At 41.4% G+C, this 22,537-nt stretch overlaps 1 long non-coding RNA gene across 4 annotated transcripts in view; it reads right to left on the bottom strand.

The window, feature by feature from the left end:
• Positions 1-21,600, bottom strand: part of LOC105379301 (uncharacterized) — a 53,655-nt gene extending 32,055 nt beyond the window's left edge. For all 4 annotated transcript variants that reach the window (NR_188132.1, NR_188134.1, NR_188133.1 and 1 more), the window contains exons 1-2: positions 21,451-21,600; positions 17,670-17,892 (exon numbers count right to left, since the gene is read on the bottom strand). This is a non-coding gene — a long non-coding RNA (uncharacterized LOC105379301). The remainder of the gene's footprint in view (positions 1-17,669; positions 17,893-21,450) is intronic.
• Between the last annotated feature and the right edge of the window lie 937 nt (positions 21,601-22,537).

Here is a 22,537-nt window from a genome sequence, read left to right as displayed (position 1 = left end):
CCTATATTTGTTGCAACACTGTTAACAATAGCTAAGATTTGGAAGCAACCTAAGTGACCATCGACAGATGAATGGATAAAGAAAACGTGGTATGTATACACAATGGAGTACTACTCAGCCATGAAAAAGAATAGGATCCAGTCATTTGCAACAACATGGATGGAACTGGAGATCATTATGTTAAGTGAAATAAGTCAGGCACAGAAAGACAAACATTGTATGTTCTCACTTATTTGTGGGATCTAAAAATCAAATCAATTGAACTCATGGACATAGAGAGTAGTGGGATGGTTACCAGAGGCTGGGAAGGGTACTGGAGAGTTGGGCGGGGGAAGGTGGGGATGGTTAATGGGTACAAAAAAATAAAAAGAATAAATGAGATGATTTGCAAGAACAATAGCGTGACTATAGTCAATAATAACTTAATTGTATATTTTAAAATAAAGAATATAATTGAATTGTTTGTAATTCAAAGGATAGATGCTTAAGAAAATGGATACCCCACTCTCCACAATGTGCTTATTTCACATTGTATGCCTGTATCAAAACATCTCATGTACCCATAAATATATATGCCTACTATGTACCCACAAAAATTTTAAAAAATATAATTAAAAATTGAAAAACAAACAAGAAAATGGGAGAAAACTGCAATAAGAAAGGGTCTGCCCATCTATCTTTTTGAAAAAACATTTGCAGAATCGTATATATTCTGTTGAATTTAACCCTGAAATCCTGTTAGTAGCAACTTAAATTGCTCTAACGAAAGCACAATGCATGAAAAGAGATGCTAGGAAGTGAATGTTGAAATGATTCAAAAATAGACTTTAAGCTTGTTAAGGCAATTAGACTGCTTCCCTGCTGAAACCAGGGAATTTACATTTTACAGTCTTGTTTTTCAGCAATCATTCTGCGTCTAGAATTACTCAACTAGAAAATGAGAATAATAATAACAACAGCTGGCACTTATTATAGGCATTGTTCTCAGTGTATTACATTTATTGATTTGTTTAATCCTCACAATAACCATGTGAAGAAGACATTGTATTTTATTCCCACTTTAAGAAACTGAGACCAAAAAGGTACAGTAACTCACCCAAGATCACACAGGGAGGTATAAATGCATTCGAATTCAAACACATGTTAATAACCATTTCACTCTGACGTTTCACCCATTAGCTTTCCAGGATAAGGTCAAAAAATATAATACAATGATATTTGATTATTTTAAATAGAAAGCATAGTATAATACATTGTTAATATTAAAAATAATTCTTGGCTGGGCCTGGTGGTTCATGCTTCTAATCCCAACACTTTGGGAAGCTGAGGCGGGTGGATCACCTGAGGCCAGTAGTTCGAGACCATCCTGGTCAACATGGTGAAACCCTGTCTCTACTAAAAATAGAAAAATTAGCCAGGCGTGGTGGCAGATGCCTGTGATCCCAGCTACTAGGGAGCCTAAGGCAGGAGAATCGCTTGAATCTGGGAGGCAGAGATTACAGTGAGCCGAGATTGTGCCATTGCACTCCAGCCTGGGTAACAGAGTGAGACTCCATCTCAAACAACAACAACAACAAAAATCTCTTAGAGGCTGGGAATGTTGGCTCACGCCTGTAATTCTAGCACTTTGGGAGGTCGAGGCGGGCAGATCACTTTGAGCTCAGAAGTTTGAAACCAGCTTGGGCAACATTGTGAAACCCCATCTCTACTGAAAATACAAAACTTAGCTGGGCATGGTGGTGCATGTGTGTAATCCCAGCTACTCGGGAGGCTGAGGCTGGAGAATCGTTTGAACCTGGGAGGCGGAGGTTGCAGTCAGCCAAGATCCCACCACTGCATTCCAGTCTGGGCGATGGAGCAACACACCATCTCAAAAAAACAAAATAAAAAAAAAAATAACTGTTCGAGAACATGACTCTTATCAAAGAAAATCCAATTTTGTTTTATGTTTAAATTATATGTAATGTGTCTCATGTTGTACCAAGACAGCTAAAATTTAAACTTATTCATTCATATATTCTGCTCAAATGTCACCTGTCAAATGAGGTTTTCCCTGGTCACTTAAAGTAAAATAGTAATAGTCTTGCCCAGCTCTTGGTAAACTCAATCTTCCTTACATATTTCATATATTAAATGTGCTTACATATTTTTGTTGTATCTTTTTCCTTCCACTATAATGTAAGCTCCACATAGGTGAAATATTTTTCTCTTTTGTTCGTTGCTGTATCCCAGTATTTACAAAACAATGTTTAGATATTTTACTATTTATTTATAATAAATTTATTACTATTTACTTATAAATCCTCAAGAAATATTTATTAATTTAATGGTGAAATTTTATATTTATTCATTTATTTATGCCAAAACAATATACGTAGCAATTATGTGCATGGGCTTTGGAACAAGACAGATTTGGGTTAAAGTCATAACAGCCATTTACCATTTGTAAAATAAACAAATCACATTAATTATATTGACCTTGTAAGATTGTTGGGAAGATTAAAACTGGCATAGGGTCTGGCATAAGGCTATGCCCCATGAATGTTATTGCTATTATTTTTATACATTTTTAAAATTACTTATTCATTTGTTAAATAAGTACAGTATCAAACACCATGTTAATTGCTTAAGAAGTTTAGAAATGTAAAAAAAATCTCCTTTGATACAAATTACATCTTTTAATATACTGCAGGACTCAGGAGAGGTAAAGGAAATCTTCAAGGACTTTCTTACCCCCACAGCTTCTAGTCCCCACTTCTGTCTCCCAACTATAAAGTAAGTAAAAACAGAAACGGGAGCTGGGAACAGTCAGCAATGGGACATGAGTGTTTACCTGAGAGCAAAGGCCGTTGCAATAAGGAGCTCAAGCGTCAGGCCAGCAGCAGGTGGGTGAGTTAAACCTGCTATTCTGGTGCAAACCAGAGAACTCCAAAGAGGACTTTAAAAGCGCCCGTTTCAGTAGCAGCAAAAACAGGCACAAGTTCTCTTTTTAGAAATCGGCATCATTTGCATGGATTAATATCAAGCAAATATGAGTTCACAATCAAAGATCAGCAAAAAACACAAAGAAACAAGTCAGATTGATGAATAAGAAGGAAGTAAACAGACTTAGACCCCAAGGTGTTCAGATTTTAAAAATTATTAAAGGACATAAAATAATTAAGTGGGAAGTATTTGTAGAAATAAAGAATGGTATCATAAACAACTTGATCAAAAAACCAAATGATAGGTAGATTTACAAAAGAGCCTAATGGAACTTTCAAAAATGAAAAAATACAGCCAGGCACAGTGGATTATGCCTGTAACCTCAGCACTTTGGGAGGCCGAGGCGGGCAGATCCCTTGAGGCCAGGAGTTCAAGACCAGCCTGAGCAACATGGGAAGACCCTCATCTCTACAAAAAATACAAAAATTAGCCAGGCATAGTGGCTTACACCTGTAGTCCCAGCTATCCAGGAGGCTGAGGTGAGAGGATTGCTTGAGTCTGGGAGGCTGAGGCTGCAGTGAGCCACGATCATGCCACTGCACTTCAGCCTGGGTGACAGAGGAAGACCCTGTCTCAAACAAACAAACAAAAACCCAAACTAAAACAACAACCAAAAACAAGGAAGAGAGAAAGGGAGAAAGAGAGAGAGGGGGGGAGGGAGGGAGGGAGGGAAGGAAGGAAGGAAGGAAGGAAGGAAGGAAGGAAGGAAGGAGGGAAAAAAGGGAAGGAGGGAAGGAAGGAAGGAAAAAAGGGAGGGAGGGAGGGAGGGATTGGATAAGCACAGAGTAGAAAAAAAGTGAGAAATATAATTGTTAAAATAAAAACTCAATGAACAGATTCAATAGTGAATTAATGGCAACTGAAGAGAGACTACATCAGCCTAGACACAGGAAATATGTGGAAGGAATATGGAGGATGGAATGATGACTTCTACCATACATATTATCAATCAGAGCCACAGAGGTAGAGAATAGAAAGAACGGAAGAGAGGTGGTGACTGAAAAGCAAAATGGGTTTCTGATGAAAAACGTATATGTACAGAAACTTAGCAAACAAGATCAATAAAAATACAACTGTACCTAGATAAGCCCTAGTGAAATTGCAAAATATTAAAAGCAAAGAGAAGATCTTAAAAGCAGCCAAAGAAAAAAGGTGGCCCACTTACAGAGGTGTGACAATGAAACATGGAAGACATGTCAACACACACAGAAAGGAAGCCAGAATGATGTGTACCTGTTATGCATCAATAAGATATTATAAAATAAAAGACAAAGTCAGATATTGTGGAACAATATCATCAACAGCTGAATGAAAACCCAGAAAAAACTGTTTCAAGAATGAGAGCAAAACAACAACCGTTTTAGATACTGAAAGGCTGGGGAAGTTGCCACCAGCAGACCTTTACTGAAGAAACTTCTGAAGACTCTACTTCAAGATAAAGGGAAATGATTTCAGAAGGATTGTATGATACACAAGAAGGAATGGTGAGCAAATATATTAGAAAATATGTAGTTTATTGGCCAAGCCATGGTGGCTCATGCCTGTAAATCCCAGCAGTTTAGGAGGCAAAGGTAGCAGAATTGCTTGAGCCCAGGAGTTCAAAACCAGTGTGGGCAATGTAGTGAGACCCCATCTCTACAGAATTTAAAAAATTAGCCAGGTTTGGTGATTCATGCCTGTAGTTCTAGCTACTCAGGAGGCTGAGGCTGGAGGACTGTTTCAGCCCGGGAGTTGGAGGCTGAAGTTGCAGTGAGCAACCGCAGCTGCAAGACCCTCCACCACTGCCCTCTAACCTGGGCAACAGAGTGAGACCTCATCTCTTAAAAAAACAAAAAAGAAAGCATGTTGTTTATAATAAAAATTATGATGTCTAATTGTGGAATAAGGTATTCCAAGGTTATTTTAGTTTGAGAAAAAGACTAAGATATTGATTACACTTGGGCTTTTTTAACTTAAATTTCAAGGAAAGTGACAGAAGAATAACAATAGAATATTTAGCTTCCAAACCAAAAGAAAAAAAAAGAAGCCAGGGGATAAAAATAAATAAATAAAAACCTTGTTAAATTTTTTTTAAATGCAAGGAAGATGACAAAAGAGGCGCGGAAAAAGTAGGACAAATGAAAATAATCAGTTAATGTGTTATAAACAAGTCTAACTATATCAATAAGCACAATGAATGTAAATTATATCATTTTACAAGTTAAAAGCAAAGTAAACCATGAGAGAGGGAGATTGTCACCACTGAGGAAACAATTCCAGCTATACGCTATTTATGAGACACACCTAAAACATAACATCAAAAGGTCGAAATAAAAGCATAGAAAAAGGTAAAATGGAAAAATGTTAATTTAAAGCAAAATCATATTAAATAACTCTTTGAGTGAAGAAAACTGCCCCCAATCCTACCAGAATTACTTTCATTTTAATAAATTCTTTTGTTGCAAGCTTCCATATTTTTGTATTACTGTATTTGTGATATACATTTAATTTTAAGTTTTTTCTTTTAAAATATATTCTTTTAAATATAATATAATTATTTAAAATATAATCATTTCCCAAATTTTTAGGTAGTTTTTTTTTTTTAATTTGAGGTAATGTCTCACTTTCTTGCTTTGTTGCCCAAGTTGGAGTGCAGTGGTACAATCATAGCTCACTGCAGCCTCAACCTCCTGGGCTCAAGCAGTCGTCCCACCTCAGCTTCCCAAGTAACTGAGCCCGTAGGCGCACACTACCATGCCTGGCTGATTTTTGTATTTTTTGTAGAGATGGGCTCTTGCTGTGTTGCCCAGGCTGGTTTCGAACTCCTGGCTTCAAGTGATCCTCCAGCCTCAGCCTCCTGAGTAGCTGAAACCATAGGGACATGTCACCATCCCTGGCTAGTAGTTTGCATCATTTCATAATAGATACTTAGATAATGATTGTTAAATGTTCCTGACCTTTTTATAATTCAATTATATTTCCTGTGGGCACTGTGGCTCATGCCTGTAATCCCAACAGTTTGGGAGGCTGAGGCAGGAGGATTGCTTGAGGCCAAGAGTTCGAGGACCAGCCTTGGCAACATAGCAAGACCCTGTTTCTAGTAAAAAAATTTTAATTAGCCAGGTGTGGTAGTTCATGCTTGTAGTCCCAGCTACTCGAGAGGCTGAGGCAGGAGGATTGCTTGAGCCCAGAAGCTTGAGGTTGTAGTGAACGATGATCATGCCACTGTACTCCAGACTTGGCCACAGAGTAAGACCTTATCTCTAAAAATTTTTTTTAATTAAAAAAAGGTATATTTCCTACCTGACCATTTCAGTAATTAATTTATTAAGTTTATTACCTACTATGTGAAATAAAAAATTCATTTTGTCTTAAGCTCTCAATCATTAAACTTCAGAGTCCACTTGTCATCTGAATACCTGTAGATTTAGGGACTACCCATATTCAGCTTACACATGCCATTCAGATTTGATAGATTTTGAACATGATACTGTTTGGACATCTTGCAGGCTGAAGTGTTCTTCCCTTTTAGCGTGTCTTCACTTAGCTCCACCCATCTGGCTGATCATTTTGTCTGATCATTTTCTTGTTCCTTTTGAAGAGGGTAGAAAGAAAACAGCTGCTCTGTTGGGTAGGACTTAGATTTGGGGGTACAAGACCTTTGAACAAAGCCTCAAGATGGGGCACAAGACTGAAGTGGAGGTGCTCAAAAATATGAAGAGACAACACCATCAACAACAATGATAATAAATGATATTGACATTGGACTTACTATATGCCCTGTGCTATTTAATCACATTATATAACAGTGCTTAATTATGAGTCCATAAAGACCTTGAATACCTGTTCTTCTCTTTCTCTTCGATCCCTTTGTTTCAAAAGAAATCAGAGACAAATGATAGGAATTCAGGCACATTGCCTGTGTGCAGAAGCTGTAAAGCTGGCATCAGTACTCCCATTCATCTGCTTCTCTTCTGGGTCAAGAGGGTGTAATGACAGTATAGATTATTAAACAAAGGCGAGTTAACTTAGGGGCAGGAGGCCAAAAAAACTTTTTAAAAATTCCAAATAAACAAACCATAAAGGTCAGCGCTAATGAGCAGAGAACGGGCTTGTAACTAACATTCTCCAAGGCTCTGAGGAACTTAATAAAATTGGATTATGTTTCAATGATTGGCATCAGAGCAAAGCTAAATAATAATAATCATACAGTTAGCACAGTACATACAAATTATTTTTGTACATAATTACAGATTTATGCCAACTAATGAACCAGATGAACTCCTCACTCGTCTCTGACTGCAAACTTTTGTTTCCCTTTTGGGAGTTCAAAAAAAGTCAGTGTGTCAGCAATTCATCTTTTTCTGCCCATTGGATCATCATGCAGAAATTAAATGAGGTGCCTAATTGTGAATTTAAATATCAACATTCTGTTGAACTATAGGACGATGTACTAAAATGTTTAGTTTGCATTGCATTTCAACACATTTGTGTCATTCTGAGTTTGTTAATTTTGGATTGTGAAAAATGAAAGTTTTGCATAAATCTAAGTTGTACTAAGGGCCCTGTGCCAATATATTTTTCATATTGTTTTGCAGAAGGATACGCATCAATCTGTTCGATCTCGTCTCTTAAAATCTTCTTTATAGGCTGCAGAAAGCAATTACCTCTTTAATCTCAAACATATAGCCATTGTATTAATCTTTTGAACAGCTCCCAGAAAGTGTAGTAGTTTGATCTGGCAAGCTAAGCATTTGACACCAGTATTATCCTGATGCATTAAAACCAAACCAAACCGTAACAAAGCAAAAAAGCAAGGCTCTTGTTGCCAATCAGTTGGTTAGTCTGTGCTAGAGTCACTCCTAGGCCCTTGCTCTTGCCTCCTGACAAATGGTCCATATCTGAGAATAGAGACTAGTTAGACCCAGAGCTGTAGCCCTCAGCCATGGACTTGAGTCTATGTGAGTTGTCCTATGCCAACTGATAACAGCAAGATTTCTTATTACAATTTAAGCAAAGTGAGTGTGCAACACGATATTAAATATTATATATGTAAACAACCTGTAGTGTGTGCTGAATGTCGGCTCACTTATGTAATAGCTTATCTGAAAACTGTCTCTTTATGTGGTGAATGTCCCTCACTACCCTTCTAACTATCATCACCATCCTCCCAGTCTAGTCTCAGCCCTCATCATGCAGACTTAGGTCACTGTAACTCTTCCCTCATTTTCTTGCCTTCAGTTTCATCCCATTTCAACTGCTCTCCACGGTAAAATTAATCTTCCTATAATAATGCAACTATCATGTCATACTCGACTAAACAACCTAGAGTGGCACTCAGTTGCGTATAGAATCAGGCTCAAGCTCCTCGATCTAGTTTTATCATCGAGCTTCTCTTTCTTCCTTCCTTCTTCCCCTCCTTTCTTCTTCTCTCCCTCTCTCTCCTCTCTTCTTCCTTTAACTTTTTATTAAATTATAACACATTAAAGAAAAAATGTACATAGAATAAATGTACAACAGCTTAATGAATTTGCAAAAAGTGAACATACGCAAGTAACACCCTGATCAAGAAAGAGAAACTTACTACCACTCCAGGAATTCTTTCTTTCTTCTGCCACCCATCCATCCTCAAGGAAACCACTAACCTGACTTCTAAGAGCAGAAGTTAATTTGATCAGGCTTAACTTTGAATAAACTTCTTCTACGTGCAGCACTCAGGAGAAGGCTCTGATGTGGGGGACATGATGCCTCAGGCCCTCCAAACCTTGCAGCCTACAGCGGCAAGTCTAATTCAAGGTCATGCAACTGATGGATCTGAGTGTCCTGAGATCTCATCTGCTGTACTCAGAATTTACTCAGGAACTGCCAGCTGGAGGTATCAGGGTGACAGCTGATGAGCACTGGGCACGGGGAGACTGGCAGTGGGTAGGGTTTGATGACGATGATCTGAAACTAATATCACAGACTTCACCTCCCTCCCATCTTCCACAGTTCTGCTCCTTAGTCATTTCTTCAGCTTCCTACTCACTGCATTTTGACAAAAGGCACCTGCAGCTGTGGCATTCAACCCTAAAGTCCCCCTGTTAATACTTAGGGTCTTTTGGATGCCAACTGGAATGTCCCCCACCATGGGAGGGCTTCTGATGCTGCTCTACCCTAAAGAGCATTCTTTCTGTGTTCCAGGAGCAGAGCTGAGAAAATACTTTTTATCTGTGATTCTTTTTAATAGCAATTAAATGAATGCTATTATTATAAAGTTATTATGATGACTTTATATAACAAGGTGTCTTATTCTAAAGTGGAGAATTTTCTGAAGCATTTGTATTGAAAATGTAATATAAAAATAGTGAGCTAGTGATTGAAGAAAGGTCAGGGGCCATTACTCATCGTCTCAACCTAACTCTACAACGACTTTAATTTTTGCATATTGTCTCCCAGGTTGCGTCCATATGGACTCCAATTTTTGTACACTATGGTTATTGTAGAGTTCATATCAGAAGACTATTTTTAAATGGCCTTGTTTATGCAAGCTCTTTGCAAAGGGAAAATGTTACTATGGATTCATAGAATCTTGCCTTTCTTTTCTGCAAGTTGTCACCTTAGTGGCAGACTCTCATTCTGTTCCTTCAGGGGAGATGCACAGCTGAGGCTAAAACAAATGGCAAAGATACCCATACATGAAGTAGCCTGAATTCTTACTTCCTCTGTCAGTTGCTTTTTAAGTAAATACAAAGAAATCACCTTAACCTTGTTGTACTTCAGAATCTCCAGGAGTAATGTATGAAGTTAGTCCTGGAGATTCTAAAGTATAACAAGGTTGAGGTGATTAACCTACTGATATAGTCTGGGTGTGTGTCCCCGCCCAAATCTCCAATCGAAATATTATCCCTAATGTTGGAGGTGGGGCCTGGTGGGGAGTGACTGGATCCCGGGGCATATTTCTCACGAATGGTTTAGCGCCACTTCCCTTGGTGCTGTTCTCAGGATAGTGAGTCTTTGTGAGATCTGGTCGTTTAAAAATGTGTGGCACTTCCCCCTGCCTGGCTCCTGCTTTCCCTGTGTGAGGTGCCTGCTCCCGCTTCATCTTCCAACATAATTGTAAGTCTCCTGCGGCCTCCCCAGAAGCCAAGCAGAAGCCACTATGCTTCCCATACAGCCCACAGAACCATGAGCCAATCAAACCTCTTTTCTTTATATATTACCCAGTCTCAGTTATTTCTTTAGAGCAATGCAAGGATGGACTAACACATTTGCTTATCTCAGAAGATAGTCCGTTAATTCAATAAACTTATTTGAGCATCTACCACATATGCACAAGGCTCCTTGCTAGGGACTGGAAAGCAACTGAGCCAGAAACTGCAACTCTTGTAAGGCACTATCTGTGGACAGGTGAGGGCTCTGGTACAGATGAGTGACGTTCACTCAGGAGAAGACTACAGTCAGGCCTTGGATCTGGGTTCTGGTTTTGTACAGTCCCTGCTTCTTTTCCCTCACCCTAGAACTTTCTAAGAATGGGCTTCTATGGCCTCCTGGATGGCCCCTGGCGTCTGAACATTCCAAGCTCAGATCCCTTCTGCCGATTTCCTGTAGTCTTCTCAGATTCCCCGCAAACAGCTTCTACCCACACCCTATTTAGCCTTCCTTCACCAAAGCCTCATTCTCTGTCTCTTTCCTAATCAGGAATTCAGGGGTCTCTCAAACAACAGCCCCCTGCTTTGAGGCCGAGGCAGGAGGATCACGTAAGCCCAGGAGTTCAAGGCTGTGAGCTGTGATTGCACCACAGCACTCCAGCCTGAGCAATAGAGCAAGACCCGAAAGAAAGAAGGAAAGAAAGAAAGAAAGAAAGAGAGAGAGAGAGAGAGAAGGAAAGAAAGAAAGAAAGAAAGAAAGAAAGAAAGAAAGAAAGAGGAAGGAAGGAAGGAAAAGAGAAAGAAAGAAGAAAGGAAGAAAGAAAGAAAGAAAGAAAGAAAGAAAGAAAGAAAGAAGAAAGAAAAGAAAGAAAGAAGGAAAGAAGGAAGGAAAAGGAAGAAAGAAAGAAAGAAAGAAAGAAAGAAAGAAAGAAAGAAAGAAAGAAGAAAGAAAGAAAAGAAAGAAAGAAGGAAAGAAGGAAGGAAAAGGAAGGAAGAAAGAAAGAAAGAAAGAAAGAAAGAAAGAAAGAAAGAAAGAAAGAAAGAAAGAAAGAAAGAAAGAGAAAGAAAAGAAAGACAAAAATTAGAGCCCAAACCCTTGGCAATACAACACAAATCCTGTTTAGCCTTCCTGGAAGGGAGGTTTGGGGGTCCTTAGAACTACAGGGACCTCCCTTCAGCATATACCTCCTGCCTCAAAAATGCACATAAAAAAAGTTTTCTGAAGAGGGAAAAAAATGTCTTAAAACATCCCATTTTGAATTGCATATCCCACTCCACTTACATAAATTCAGAAGCGGGAGCAGTGGTCTCTTGATTGAAAGGATCTTGCAGGATGTTGCAGAAAGAGTGACATTCATGTCAGGCATTAAAGACAGATGAGACTAAGTTAGGTATCACTAGCAGGTAAGAGCATCTTACATGGAGGAGCACTGGGGGCCAAGCTCAGAAAGGGGAAAATCTAGAATGTGTTGGAGGTCTGCGAGGCCACGGATCCAGCAGGAAGACGTTCATGCAGGGTGTCCCAGGGGAGCTGCCACCCTGGGCCACATGGGCAGGACTGTGGTCCCAGACCACCAGAACCAAGACTCCTGTAAGAGGCCATCAAGCCAAATCTCACTGTACAAATCTCCGTTTGCCTCAACCATGGAAGAGGTCCCAGCATCCCATCATCCACTGTCAACAGAGCTCTCACTCTCACACATCTCTGTTTACTCCTCTTCGACCAAGTTCTCCTTCTCTTCCACCATAAAATGTTTCCATCTCACAGCCTCCCCTTGTAACATTCTCTTCATCTCCATTCTGAAATGCGGTGGTTTTCTGAAACCACTTCTCCCATGGCCACCAAAGGCTGTTTTATTTCCCATACTCCAAGTAACCATGTAAGGTGGGTGTTTTCCTTCCTTTCCTCTGTCACCACCAGACCATTGTCCCCCTTTTCCTGCAGAAACTTTGCCCTTTTGGGTTTGTGTGACTTGGATACACCGTCTCCTTTGTTCCCACCGTCTCCCCACCACTCCTCTTTATTCACTGAAGATTTTAGTTTCTGGTTCCCTGTCTTCCTCTCCACCCCAAATTCTGTCATCACTCTTTGTAACCTCAGCATTCCCAGGAAAGGCCATTTCAGTCCCCTGGCATCTCAGCTTCTTCACCTCCTTATCTCTAGGGATCTTTTATTTCTGTCTACTTCAGTCACACACTCCAATAGTTGCCCACTGGACCATTGTACAACCTCTAAAATCTTGAAGGCCAACATCAAGCTCTTGGGCCATTCCATAACCTTCTAGTTTATTTGTTCAAGTATCCCTACTAGAAAAGTCCTTCAGTTTCTTCACGGCCTCCACTCCATCCATTCTCTCACTTTCTCACTGTTCATCGATATCCTCATAAATGCCTCCTTTCTTGGCTAGTTTCAATTCCATATTCCACCATTCTAGTTACTTTTTACGAAGACCATAAATTCCTTTATCTTCCATAGCTTCATGGATAAACTCAGCCTTCTTTCTCTGTGCATGAGCACAACTGCAGAAAGTTATATTATTTCTTTCATTCCAAATTAATGACTTTAGACTTCGAATGAGCTCTCAATTGCTTGTCAGTGGTCTTCTACTTCTCTGGTAAGCTCAACTTCCAGTTCTCCTGCAGAATCAATCTCCCTCTCTTTACTCAATCAGTCTTGGCATAGACACACATTCTAGTATCTCCCTCCCCAAACCCCTTAAGCTATCACCTATCAAAGCAGAACTTCTCTAAAGGATTGTCTATGATCCTTCTATTCCTTGGTTTCTCATTCCTTGGTTTCTCATTCATTCCTCAGCCAATGCCAAACTGTTTTCTGCCAAAATTGTATTTCTCAACCCAATGTACCCCAGGATGCCAAATCTAACAGTGAGTTTTCTAGTCAGTGCCTGTGGTAGGCTACATAACGCCCCTTGCCCCGAGATGTTCCCGTCATACTGTCCTCTGCTGTGAATATTCACTTTACATAGCCCACCTTGCAGACAGGTCTGAATCAGAGACTTCACACATGCTAGTCCCTCTGCCTGGAATGTACGGTCCATGTTTCACCTTGTAATCTTTTTAGGGAAGTCCTCCTTGATTCCTAGTGAAGTGCCTTTCCCCTGTGATTCTCCGTTACGGCATCTGCTTCGTGACACTTCTCACAATGAATTGGTATGAATTGGTTTGTTTTTTAATTATATTATCTTCTCCCTTAGTGACTCGATGGAAAGCTACACAAGACCTGGAGACATAACTCTTTTATTCACCAACATTAACCTGACACTTAGCAAAGTTCAAGGCATGTAATATAGATGCTTAATAAATATTTGCTGATGTTCGTTATTGAGAGGGAGGTAGCTGAAATGGTAAAGTGTTACTAGAGGCACAGAAAGCTAGAAAGTGAGAGGCCAGATTGTGGGGAGTACCGAATGTCATAGTGGAGAGTTCAGACTTAATGGATATAGAGAAACATGAAATATTTTGAGCCAAAAAAACCAAATTGCTTGTATCTGTGTTATGGACAAATATCCCTCGCAACAATATAAGGGATAGATTACATTAGAAAGAAATTGGAGGTGGCTGGGCACGATGGCTCATACCTGTAATCCCAGCACTTTGGGAGGCCAAGGAAGGCAGTACACTTGAGGTCAAGAGTTTGAGACCAGCCTGGCCAACATGGTGAAACCCTGTCTCTCCTGAAAATACAAAATTTAGCTGGGCATGGTGGTGCACACCTGTAATCCCAGCCACTCAGGAGGCTGAGGCAGGAGAGTCACTTGAGCCTGGGAGGAGGAGGTTCTAGTGAGCCAAGATCACACCACTGCCCTCCAGCCTCAGTGACAGAGTAAGGGAGACTTTGTCTCAAAAATAAACAAGCAAAAAAAAAAAAAAAAAAAAAACTGGAGGCAAGGCTCTGGAAAAATAAAATGATTCAGCAGATATATATACTCTGAGAAGGAAAAAGGATTATATAAAAGTGTAGATTATATAAAAGTAGTACTATATATAACTATAAAAGTTATATATAGTAATATTTTATTAATAATTAACATTATTAGACTTCATTTAATAATTCAGCCTGAGGTTTGTTGTGTCCATATTATTATAGCTTTGGAATGAATGTCCCAGGTTATCTCAGAATATATGTATTCCCACAAGCTATAAAGCATTTATAGTTTGTGGTTTGGGGGCTAATCAGGCCTAAAAGCCTCTCTCCACAGTAACTGGAAAAAGCCTCCCATATTCAACTGACTATTTTTAAACACAATCAACCATTCACTCCTTCCAAATCTGATTGCTGTAAACTTGGTGAGCAAGCCCTCTTCTCAGGTCATGTGTGTGCCAGCTCTGAGTTCTGAAGCCTGGTGCCTTCAAATTATCTGGACTGAAATAGTGCCTGGAAAATGTGATTAAAGTAGTGGATGAGTTTTGAAAACTTAGAAAATAGCCGTACAGGTTTTAAAGATGGGTTTAACACAAACCAAACAAAAACTAATTCTACCGAAAGTACTCAGGAAAAAAAGAAAGAGGCAAAGAAGAGTTTTACTCTAAACACCAGGAGAAATAGGCAATGGAGAAAGAAAGGTGTTGACTTTATGCCAAGAGGCCTTCTTTAAAGCAAAGGGCTTTAGAGAGACGTTTTTTCAGATGCTGTCTCTAAATCCAAACATTTTCAGTGGCGCAAACCAGTGGATGCATTTGGTTCCATGTCAGCAATGCATGAAGAGATAACAGGGGTGAAAGTGGGTCCGCTACCTGCTGAAATGCCCTTGCAACTCAGGTACCTGCTTCAGAGGCTCTGCAGCTGGGGAGCCTCCCTGATTGTCACCCAGCACAACTGTCACCCACCCTCAGTTGGCATCCCCAGCACAGTAGAAACTCAGAGAAAATGTAGGGAAACAAAATGGAAACTACTGTGAAAGGCAGCTGAATTTCATTAACTTCAGTTTTCACTGTTAGTACAGAAGGTTTTATATTATTCCCTAGGTAGTTCTAGGACTGGAGTGATTTGTCTTGAAGGAAGAGTGCAGGCTGGGTGTGATGGCTCACGCCTATAATCTCAGCACTTTGAGAGGCTGAAGCAGGATTGTTTGAGCCCAGGAGTTCCAGGCTAGCCTGGGCAACACAGAAAGACTCCTTCTCTACCAAGAAATTTAAAAAAAAATTAGCTGGATGTAGTAGCACACACCCGTGGTCCTAGCTACTTGGGAGACTGAGGTAGAAGGATTGCTTGAGCCTGGCAGGTTGAGGCTGCAGTGAGCCATGATCATGCCACTGCACTCCAGCCTGGACAACAGAGCAAGGCCCTGCCTCAAAACAAAACAAACAAACAAAAAGAAATAGTGTAATGAAAAGAAAGGAAAAAAATAATTCAAGTAAAAGAAACTTGACAGATTAAAGCCAATAGGCATTCACAATGTGTTTAAGTGATTTTATGCCAGTATTTTAAAAATGTGTTAATGACATTCATCTGTCATGTACTTGAACCTCTTGGATTAAGACTACAGAATGGAAGATACAGATAGTGACGAGCCAAGGAAAGGGGTCCTCATCCAGGTTTCAGGGGACTTGAATGCTAGCCAAAGCTCTGCCTCTTACTAACTCTCCAACCTTGAACAGGTAGTTTCACTTCTCTGACACTTATTCTCATCTTAGACTAGAATATGGCTTTCACTTTAGAAAGGAGGACCAACATCTCAGGGACTGGCAAAGACAGAGTCTGTAGATGTAGATGTGTTGGAGTGGAGCAGAAGGCTGGCCCACAGCTTGGATGTCACCCTTTCTACAGCGGAAGTGGTGAGTTCATCCATGGAGAGGAAGAAGCAGTAGACTGTGTGAAGAGGAGCTGGGGAAGGGTGTCTTTGGCAGGCGCATGGGAAATCAGGAAAAGCTGGCGAAACCACAGTGGCGTTTACGAGCACAGACTTGTAGTGAGCTCACTGATGGCCCCTCGTGGTCCTAGCGTTCCCCAGTTTGTGGAGTAAGAACATGGAAATCCTGGAGCAGTGGGAGGGCAAGAGGGAGTGAGGACCAACAAAAGGTGCTGGCCAGGCCTGGGGGCTCACACCCGTAATCCCAGCACCTCGGGAGGTCCAGGCAGGGGCATTGCTTGAGCCCAGGAGTTCAAGACCATCCTAGGCAATAGAAAGAGACTCTGTCTCTACAAAAACACTTCTTTAAAAAAATGAACTGGGTGTGATGGCACATGTCTGTGGTCTCAACTACTCAGGAGGCTGAGGTGGGGGGGATCGCTTGAGCCCAGGAGTTCGAGGCTGCAGTGAGTGATGATTGCTCCACTGCACTCCAGTCTGGGCAACAGAGTGAGACGCTGTCTCAAAAAAAAAAAAAAAAGAAAAGTCCTGTGCTCAAAGGTCTTGAAGAAACATCCCAGAGTACTTCCTTCTTGAAGATTTGTGGTTCATGTTAGCATACTAAAGCCTCCAACTAGTCCTGCAGTAGAGAAACGGTTAACTATTTACATCACCATTCTAGAACTTGCTTGACTAAAGAAACTTTTTTTAAAAGATATGTTTGTTAAAGTTTCACTGAACATAATAGATACAACATCATTCTAGGGTATAAAATTCAAGCTTCCTGAGAAGGTATATAATGCCTCTAGGATCAGGCTTCTGCCACTGTCTGCTTCAGACTTAGTTGCTACTGAGCAAAACCACCTGGGTGCTCATCTGCCCACCCCTGCTCACCCACCACCCCTCAAGTCTGCATGCCCCAGCCTGCCCTGCAGATTACACGCCTCATGGTTTCTTTGTGTGTGTGTTTTGCTCATGCAAAAGCTAACTGCTCTCTCTCCTACTCTTTAACTGCCCAATTCCTAATTATCCTTTAAGATTCATGTTACTCAGAATTACCCTAAAGGGCATGTTGTCATGGATATTTAGTGACCTTGAGTCAAGCCATTTGTTCAGAAAAATAACTCCCTTGTACATAGTAATCTCCATTCTATAAATTGCTTTCTTACATACTATCTCCCTTAGTTCTTGCTTCCGTTCTGTAAAGCAGACTGTATTATCATCATCATTTTATTAGTGAGAAAATGAGCATTAGAGAGTCCAAGTGACTTGCCTAAGATCACCCGCTCAGGAAATGGCAGAGGCAGGCCGTCCTCAATTTCAAGCCAAGCCCTGCCCATTCTGTGGGTTTGTGACTCACGAGGCATGGAAGAACTCAAAACATTTGAGCAGCTTCTTTTAAAACAAATAAGCTAACCGTTTCTCCCTCCCATCTCTTCCTCTGTCATTGTCACTGCCAGCGCTGTCACATCTGCCTCTCAGATGGGGCTGTGGTGACCAGGAACAAGAGCGTCTGGAGTTAATGAGAAATCATTTGTAACCCCTGCACACATCTCTTCTCACAGCTGCTGCTCTTCCCAATTTTCTGCTTGGATGACTTTTTTAAAGCATGTGAACTGTTTTTTTCCTATGGCGGGATGGAAAACAAACAGCACAGTCACGTGTGTACACACACAAGTATATTTCCTTTAGATGCAAATGTTTGCTATAAAAAGGACCTGGAAGGGATGAAGCTTGTTCTTAAAAACATTGTTACATTATTTACCGTATTTCCAAAGTAGAAAATGACCAAAGACGAATTCTCCAACTGCAATTGTGAATGAGCTTGGTAAACCTGGGCCGCTGCAGGTCTTCATCATGAGCTGCCTGCATTCTTGACTTCTGTTGAGTTCATGGAGGATGTTGAGTGCTGCTAAGCTTGCCCTTGGCCTGCCTGTGGCCCATTCTCTCCTCCTTCCACCACCACCCATCTGCAGGAGCTGCTGGACCTGGCAGTATAGGAGGAAGCAGTCTCAGAAAACCACTTGAAGCATGATATTAGGGATAGAGGGTTTTCTCCTCCCAGAGTAGCTAATATTTTAAAGGAGAATTTGCTCTTACCCCCCAAGACAATGCTTAACCCAGAAAAATCAATCTGTAAGGGTAGAACTCTTGGTTCTATGGCACTCTGATGGGTGCATTTCCCAGAGAGGAAGGACCCTTTCCTCTCCTACTTACACGGCTTTTTCACTAGAGGGGAAGGAAGACAGGTTGAAAAACAAGCTCAACTGCATGTATGTGCTCAAGGGAATAAGCAGTCATTTGCCATCAAGAAGACCTAAAGAAAAGCCTTATGCTTCAAACAGTTGCTTTTTTTATTTTTTTGTGTGTGTTTTGAGACAGGGTCTCCTGTCATCCAGGCTGGATTGCAGTGGTGCAATTACAGCTTGCTGCAGCCTGGAACTTCCAGGCTCAAGCAGTCCTCTCATCTCAGCCTCCCAAATAGCTGGGACTATAGGCATGCTCCACCACACGTGGCTAATGCTAATTTTTGTTTTGTTTTGTTTTGTTTTGTTTTTGTAGAGATGGGGTTTTATCATGTCGGCCAGCCAGGCTGATCTCAAACTCCTGGACTCAAGTGATCCATCTACGTTGGCCTCCCAGAGTGTGGGGATGATAGATATGAACCACTGTGCCCAGCCATGGTTGTACTTTTAATTGTTGCTTTCCTCCCACTACGTGTCACACTTCATCTACTTGGTGTGACTTTTTAAGATAAATAAGGCCATCCTTCCACTATTGCGAGATTTGCTTCTGAAAGGCATAGAGCATGTGAGCTGAGCACATGTGCTCCTATCCCACTCATACCCTGCCAAGGTTGTCCATACCTCCAGTTCTGCCAGGCAGAGGTGAAGCAGATCACGGGCCCACTCAGGGTGGCTGCATCCCCACCCAACCTGAGTGCCCCGCCCTGGGCATAGACGGCACTGAGGGCCCTTCCAGTGGAGCGGCAGGACTTCAGAGCCCCAGGTTGGAGTTAGGACAAAAAAGGTTCAAGAACTGGCTTTGCCTCTTGTTAGTGACCTTGGGCAAGTTGCTTCAGCTCTCAGGCCTCAGTTACTTCATCGCTGTAGCCCGGGGAGTATTAAATCGAGCAGCCAATGGGAACTGCTTGTCTCACAGGGGCACTAGATACAACTGCAGCCATTGCCAAGGTCAACAGACATGAGCTGACTACTTAGAAAATGTGCTCTTAGAAGTAATTCCTATTCATCTAATCAAGGTTTTGTGAAGGCTGCTTCCAGTAAATGCACAACACTGTGAGGATGACCTCACTGAGGAGCAATGAGAGGTTAAGGGGAGGAGGTACAGCCCCTGGCTCCTGCCTGGGTGGCTTAGAGCACAGCCACCCCACACCTCACTCCTCACACTCAAATGGCATCTACCGCAGCTTCCCACTCACTTCATGGTGTGGAACCTGAGCCCTGCCTGGCTAAAGGACCCTGTCTCTCACTGCCCAGCACTCTTTAGCATAAAGAGCTTCAGTAACCATGAATAAGAGAACCGGCCGTCTGGGCTTGACACAGAACAGGGCATTCAAACTCCCCGTGGCTCAGTACTCTTGTCTGTTTGGGCAGTCTTTCCATTTACTTCAAAAGCAGTCTGCCTGTGTGATCAGCTGCCAGGGTAGGCACATATCGACCTGAAATACAAAGAAGTGCTCAGAACGTGCCAATGTGTGCATGGGATGGGGATCGGGGCTGGAAGGGAAATAGAAACCGGATGGAAATGAAAGACTCTTTCTAATTAGAATGTTTCCCAAGCTTTCCCATCTGGTTCTTCCAGAAATAATCATCACAAGGGGAAATATCTGACACAGTGTCATCTCCTGAAGAAATGAACTGGGCTTGCTTTTCAGGGAGAGGCAAAAAATGGTCACCAGGGACTCAGTTTGGAAAAAGCACGAGTTTAAGAGGTTGAGGGGATGACGGGCCCTGGTTCCTGGAGAGGAGGTGAAAATGTTTTCTTCTTTTCTTCCCCTCTCCAAATCTCAGGTCTTTATCTCTAAAATACAGTTATCTCCTAAATATACTAATTAGGAAGCAGCCTGGCATCATGGAAACAGCTGGACTTTGGAGCCTGAACAACGTGGACCCGCATCCACTCCATTGCTGTCACTTCAGGGAAAGAGTTTCACTTCTGCAGACTTGTGTCCATGTCTTTGAGACAGAGATTCTAATATTTACTTCGTTCTAAAGATTAGAAGTGACGAATGTAAAATGTTGAAATCTTCACCTCTCCAGGGATGATATTAGGATATGGAGCCTTTGGGAGGTGATGGGTCACGGGGGCAGAGCACTCATGAATGAGATTAGTTCCCTTATAAAAGAGACTCCAGAGAAACATTCCACCCCTTCCACCCAGTGAGGTTGGAGTAAGAAGACCACTGTCTAGGAGGAAGCAGCCCTCACCAGACCCCAAATCTGCTGAGACCTTAATCTTGGACTTCCCATCCCCTAGAACTGTGAGAAATCAATTTCTGTTGTTTGTAAGTCACCAAGTCTATATTATTTTGTTATGTAGCAACCTGAATGGACTAAGACAGTAGCTATAATCATCATCATCATTGTCAATACCAATATTACATGAAGCTCACATGTACAGAAATTTCCTTATAATAGTGGAAAAAACTAAAGCTCTGACTCTGAAGATGTATTTCTAACCAGCAGATAGAATATCCTAGAACATCTTGAAGCTTTATTTGTTAAAGCATGAGTAGGGATGGTCAGTGCTAGTTCTTACCATTGCTCTGATTCTCCTAGGTCATCTCTCAGCTCAGTCACCTCATCTATGCCCTTGACACACACTCCCTTAACACGCTCATACCTTCCTAGCTATTCAGGTTTCAGTTCCGCCAGACTCTCCCTCAGTCCTGTGTCCCATTCCAGCTGTACCTTGTGTCTCACTTTTTCTTGACTTAAGAATGCAGGTCATTTTCCAAACACAATTCTTACAGCAGGAAATGGCTAAGATTACCACATTTTTTTCTTCCTATCAGCTGTGAATGCCCACCAGGTCACAACCAAATTGGGCACAGTGACTCCAAAGAGCTCTGCAAATAAATGCCAAGGACAGACAGTGGTGGACTCCACCATATGAGAGAATGAATGAGAATTGGGAGGCAGGTTGTGCCTCCTTTGATCTAAAACTCTGAATGGAATATTTCCAGGAATCCTTGGGATTTCCTGGGTCTTAAGCCTCTAACACTTGTTCTCTGGAATTATCATTCCTTTGAGATCACTGTTTTTCTTCACTTCAATCAATGGTCTTGATAAAGTACCGTTTTTATACAATCTTGAATCACATGAGTTCTTAAAAACATTAGGGAAACAACATTAGAGATGGTAAAGCTCCCTGATGAGCAAAGGTTGCTCATGTGGGATGGGTGGATCTTTCTTGGGAACCTGGGCTTTGAGGCCAGGAAGTACAGTCAGGCTGGACATGCTGGTTACATTAAGTTCACTGGTCATAGAGAGGAGAGGAAAGAGCCAGACCTGTATACCCACCTCAACCACTGTTCTCCCTAATGATGTCACATTCTGCAAGCCTCTCAATCTCCCCCATTCTCTCTTTCTGCATTTCCAAGAAGGGGATCATGCTGCCTACTTCTTAAGGTTGTCATAAGGTTTAAGTGAGAGAAGTTGGTGCTCTGGTGTCTCCCCCTCCTAACAACGCTGTGTCCACACCCCTTGTCACCATTGTTAGGATTCTAGAATGTTCTTTTTCTCTGTTGAAGTGATGAGAAGAAATCACTAGCACAAAGTATACTTTTAATGATCTGTTGTTTGCATTCATAGTTTATGAATCTTGAAGGTCTGTGGTGCTAGCAAAAAAATAGGGCCTCAACTTAGCATTATTTCAGAGCAAGAAACCTTGAGACTTCAGAGGAATCACAAACGATGATTAGTTTAGAATTACTGTTAGTAATAATAATATTATTATAACAACATTCATCACAATTCAAGGATCTAACATACACAGTCATGTGTTGCTTCATAACAGGAATATGTTCTGAGAAATGCATCCTCAGATAATTTTGTCATTGTCGAACATCACAGAGTGCACTTTTGGACACCTCAGTGGTATAGCCTACACCTAGGCTTTCTGGTCTAGCTTACTGCTCCCAGAGTACAAACCTGTGCACCATATTGCTCTACTGAATACTGTTGGCATGATAATACAATGATCAGCATTTGTGTATCTAAGCATATCTAAACGTGGAAAAAGTATAGTAAACATACAGTACAAAAGATAAAATATGGTCCACCTGGCCAGGTGTGGTGGCTCATGCCTGTAATCCTAGCACTTCGGGAGGCTGAGGCGAGTGGATCACTTGAGGTCAGAAGTTTGAGACCAGCCTGACCAATATGGTGAAACCTCATCTCTACTAAAAATACAAAATTAGCCAGGCGTGGTGTCGCACACCTGTAATCCCAGCTACTTGGGAAACTGAGGCAGGAGAATCACTTGTACCTGGGAGGCAGAGGTTGCAGTGAGCTGAGATCACACCATTGCACTCCAGCCCAGGCAACAAGAGCAAAACTCTGTCTCAAAAAAAAAGAAAAGAAAAGAAAAAAAGGTCCAACTATATAG

Source organism: Homo sapiens, chromosome 8, assembly GCF_000001405.40.
Source record: "Homo sapiens chromosome 8, GRCh38.p14 Primary Assembly".
Taxonomy (NCBI): domain Eukaryota; kingdom Metazoa; phylum Chordata; class Mammalia; order Primates; family Hominidae; genus Homo; species Homo sapiens.
This window is presented reverse-complemented; position numbering and strand designations above follow the sequence as displayed.